Genomic DNA, 5,040 nt, shown 5'->3' with positions numbered 1-5,040 from the left:
GGGGGAAGGGTTGGGGGTGACTAGGCAATGTGTGCTTGCTGTTGATTGGTTGGAGGTGTCATCATAAAGGTGTAGGAAATGGTCCTCCTACACACAGAGTCACTTCTGGGAGGGGACACGGGAGTGGTTGGAGTTGGTGGGTCCAGGTGGGGCCATCTGTAGTCAGAAATGTAAAAAAATCTGAGAAGATATCTCAAAAGGCCAATCTTAGGTTCTGCAATAGTGACGTTATCTGAAGGACTAATTGGGGAGGTTGCATATCTTGTGACCTCTGGAATAATGGCTGGCAATCGTTTATGTCTACACCTTAGCAGAAATCAGCCTCCACTCATCTTCCTAGCCTGGTGGTCTCTCACTGGCTTTATGAAGATGGTTGAGTTTTGGGCAAGGGCTGTTATCATTTAAACTATAAACTTAATGTCTTCCAAAGTTAGCTTGGTCTAAATCCAGGAATGATTAAGAGCAGCTTGAAGGCCAAAGGCAAGGTGAGGGTTGGCCAGACCAGACCTCCTTCATTGCCTTAATTTTCTAACTGATACAATTTGTGCAAAGGCAGTTTCAGTGAGGTTGAGCTAAGTTTAAAGGTAAAAACAGGAAAAAAAAAGGCAAATGAAGCTAAACTTCGGTAATGAATAAAATATATTCCAAGTTAACTGTTCCAGAGTGCCTCAACTTGGGACTCAACATTAGCATTTCTTTCAACTGTAACTGTGGTTTCCATGTTGTTAGTGAACAGTTTCCTGGTAGTGAACTTTACCCTTGGATAACTAGCTGTTTCCATGTGTTTGTGGCTGTGTGGACTTCGATAGTCATATGCATCTGAAACTCCTATGCAGTCATAAGGTAGAGGCAGTTGTTTTACATAGTTTATTGCTCAGATAAATAAGTTGATTAGCAGGGCGTGACATCATGCACCTGTCGCTCCAACTTCTTGAGAGGCTGAGGCAGGAGGAGGATCACTTGAGCCTGGGAGTTTGAGTCCAGCCTGGACAATATAGTGAGATCCTGTCTCTTAACACAATAAATAAATAAGTTGGCCTTGTGTCTACACGAGGATTTGGGAGCTGGAGAATGAATATGAGTTTGCTTATGTTAGAAATGATTGTTCCTTGGTACCATAAAGAAATAGCACTTGAACACAAATTTAATTTCCTCAGCAAGGCCATTTTCACTTTCTGCAGAAAAGGTACACTCGCCAGCAGTTTTGCAACACGAGTACACTGAACAAAGGAGACAGAGTCATTTATAACTTGATGCGTCCACCTTACTGCTGTGTCCGCTTTCCATTGGCTGGAATGAGACCTCACATTCTGTATTTGTCCTGATTGGCTAGCAACTTAGAACTTTTTAAAAGAGGCAAAGGCAGAGGAGAACAAAGGAAAGAGGAAGGAACTTGCAGAATGCTGAGAAAGGTAAAAACACCTTCAAATAAGGAAGAGGAACAGGCTATGACCTAATGCTTACTTGGACCAGTTTAAGCATGTAGGGTAAATATTTAGGCTAAATTGTGGGAGCTAAGAATATAAAGTATATTGATTTCTTTATTACAGCTAGCAGATATTTAATAATGTTAGCACAGGTCTTTGAATAAATTTTGCTTTCTAAGAGAAGTTACTATTTATTCCTAATTAGATGGGAAGGAAAGTCTTTGAAGAGGAACCTCTACTTTACTTTTTACACTTAGAACACGTTTCCTCCCATCACGGCACTTTGATCTGGCTGAAGATATGAGGATAGAATACACAAGGTCCAGTGGCTGAAGAAATTACAGTGCATTTGTAGAAATGATAATGACTCACAGTGGATGGAGCACAAGGCTTGGGGAGACATATACCCAGAATGAACAGAGCCAGGAGGTCTTTGCGCAGCCGGTGAGGAGCCTGGGCTCAGTTTTGGGAAGAATGGGAAGCTCTGCAGGGCTTCAAGCAGGCAATGACACCATCAGCTTTGCTTATAGAAAGATCACTGGCAGAAACATGGAGAGGTCAAGAGTTGGAGTGGAAAACTGTTAGAGGGTTTTAGAAATAATCCAGGTGAGAGAATGATGGTGACCTCAATTAAGGTGGTGTCACTGGACAGGGAGGCAAGTTCACGCTTTGAGAGCAAAGAAACAAAATACGGTAGGAACAAGAGTGTGAATCACAGCTGTGGGCAAAGCCAGCAAGGGGTTTGCAAGGAAACAGGCTCAGATTCTGAGGCAAGACTCACAACGACCTGTTGTGATAGAATCTCTTTAAAAATTTTCTTTTCAAATATTTAATTGACAAGGATGGAATTGAAGGAGCATAGAGAATTTCACCCCCAAATATGACTCCCTGGTATAATGAATATTTTGAAAAACCCTATGAAATCCACAGGACTTGGAAAATACTTTTCCCTTATCCTCGTAAAGATCAGATGGGCCCACCAAGAAGAACAATTGCTTTATCCTTCTCTTCTCTGCTATCTCATTATCCATTTCAGAAAAGGAAAGGAAGAATGTAGCCAGACCTGGCCTAACCATTTTACAAAATAATGCCTGTCTCCCTGGTTCATTCAGCTTCCAAAGAGAACCATTTACAAATCAATCTCTCTTCCCAATTTCCATTCATTCTCCCAAATACCCATTCATTTTTATCTTGGTAACCATTTCATGCCCCTCAACAGAATTACCTATATTCCCCATCTGTTATAACGTTTAATGATTAATTAATCATTTAATGCCCCTCAACAGAATAACCCTTTTGAACGGAGGTTCTGTAACTGCCCAGTGGGTTCACCTTGCCTGCTGCCTAGACAGAGGCAATTTATAAAGACAGGAATTGCAACAGAGAAAGAGTAATTCATGCAGAGCCAGCTGTGTGGGAGACCAGAGTTTTGTTATTACTTAAATCAGTCTCCCCAAAAACTCTGGGGATTAGAGTTTTCAAGGAGTGTTTAGTGGATCATGGGAAGCCAGTGAGCCAGGAGTGCTGATTAGTCAGGGATGAAGTCATAGGGAGTCGAAGCTGTCTTCTTGTGCTGAGTCAGTTCCTGGGTGGGGGCCGCAAGATCAGATGAGCCAGTTAATTTATCTGGGTGGTGCCAGCTGATCCATCAAGTGCAGGGTCTGTAAAATATCTCAGGCACTGATCTTAGGAGCAGTTTAGGGAGAGTCAGAATCTTGTAGCCTCCAGCTGCATGACTCCCAAACCATAATTTCTAATGTTGTGGCTAATGTTAGTCCTACAAATGCAGTCTAGTCCCCAGGTAAGAAGGAGATTTGTTTTGGGAAGGGGCTGTTATTGTCTTCGTTTTAAACTATAAACTAAGTTCCTCTCAAAATTAGTTCAGCCTACACCCAAGAATGAACAAGGACAGCTTGGAGGCTAGAGGCAAGATGGAGTTGGTTAGTTTAGACCTCTTTCACTGTCTCAGTCATAATTTTGCAAAAGTGGTTTCAGTTCTGTAAGTGTTTGAGCCCCATTGGGAAATTTGATTATCATCCTGTGACTCACATGCATGGTTAAATAAATTTGTATGCTTTTTTTTCTTATTAGTCTGCCTAATTGTGAGTTGATTTTTCAGTGAACCCTCCAAGGCTGAGAGAGAAGCTTCCCCTCTTCCCTTACAGAATATATTCAAGGTATACAATATGAAGATGTTTTTTTCTTTTCTTTTCTTTTTTTTTTTGAGACAGAGTTTCGCTCTTGTTGTTCAGGCTGGAGTGCAAAGGCGCGATCTTGGCTCACCGCAACCTCCGCCTCCTGGGTTCAAGCAATTCTTCTGCCTCAGCCTCCCCAGTAGCTGGGATTACAGGCATGCACCACCATGTCTGGCTAACTTTGTATTTTTAGTACAGACGGGGTTTCTCCATGTTGGTCAGGTTGGTCTCGAACTCTCGACCTCAGGTGATCTGCCCGCCTCAGCTTCCCAAGGTTCTGGAATTAGAGGCCTGAGCCACCGCATCCGGCCAATGATTTCTTATATGCATACATTGTGTTATGAATACTACAATCAAATTAATGAACACATTCATCACCACCCAAGCTATATATTAGGTCCTCAGAACTTGTTCATCTTGTAACTGAAAGTTTGTACTCTTTGACCAACATCTTCTCATTTTCTCCATACCCTAGCCCCTGGCAACCACTGTTCCACTCTTGGCTTCTGTGAGTTTGACTTTTTTGGATTCCACGTATCAGTGTGATCAGGCAGTATTTGTCTTTTTGTGTCTGGCTTATTTCACTTAGTATAATGCCCTCCAGACTCATCATGTTTTCTCAAAAGGCAGATTTCACTCATGGATGAATGGTATTCCATTGCATATCTAAGACCATGATTGTATCCATTCATCCATTGATGGACACTTAGGTTACTTTCATATCTTGTCTATTGTAAATAATGCAACAATAAACACGTGGGTGTGGATATCTCTTTGAGATACTAACTTTGCTTCCTTCGTATGTATACCCAGAAGAAATATTGCCAGATCCTATAGTAGTTCTACATTTAATTTTTTGAGGAAGTGATGGGATCTTTTTGGGAAGGCCAAGGTTTCTTGCAACAGGGAACTCATACTTGTCTTGGCGATTCTTTTCCAACTTGGCATCCACTCCTATCAAGCATTAATATTGGCATGTCCAGAAGGTGAATGCCATGATGAAATTAGTGTTTTCTGATTAGCCAGTGAATATAAGCTAGTCTAGATGAGGCCCTTGAAACTGAATGACATCCGTGGAATACTACACAGCCATAAAAAAGGATGAAATCATGACTTTCGCAGCAAGATGGATGCAGCTAAAAGCTATTATCCTAGGTGAATTAGTGCAAGACAGAAAACCAGATATTGCATGTTCTCACTTATAAGCAGGAAGCTAAACACTGGGTACACATGGACATAAAAACGGAAACAATAGACATTGGGGACTACTAGAGGAGGGAGAGAGGAAGAGGGCAAAAGACTGAAAAACTACCTATTTGGTACTACGCTCATTATCTGGGTGATGGGATCATTCATACCCCAAATCTCAGCATCATGCAATATACCCATGTAACAAACCTGCACAGGTACCCCCTGAA

The 5,040-nt window shown here is 41.7% G+C and overlaps 1 annotated feature.

Annotated features, from left to right (window-relative positions):
• Positions 2,313-3,512: an enhancer, noted in NCBI's record as "MED14-independent group 3 enhancer chr7:68445097-68446296 (GRCh37/hg19 assembly coordinates)". NCBI's record gives its function as "activates an origin of replication core promoter dependent on BRD2, BRD4, P300/CBP and CDK7 cofactors, and independent of MED14, by STARR-seq in HCT116 cells {active_cell/tissue: HCT116}" and the evidence as "EXISTENCE:reporter gene assay evidence [ECO:0000049][PMID:35650434]".

The sequence above is a fragment of the Homo sapiens genome, chromosome 7, assembly GCF_000001405.40.
Source record: "Homo sapiens chromosome 7, GRCh38.p14 Primary Assembly".
Taxonomy (NCBI): Eukaryota; Metazoa; Chordata; class Mammalia; order Primates; family Hominidae; genus Homo; species Homo sapiens.
Note: the sequence above shows the minus strand (reverse complement) of the source record. Positions and strands in the feature narration are given on the sequence as shown.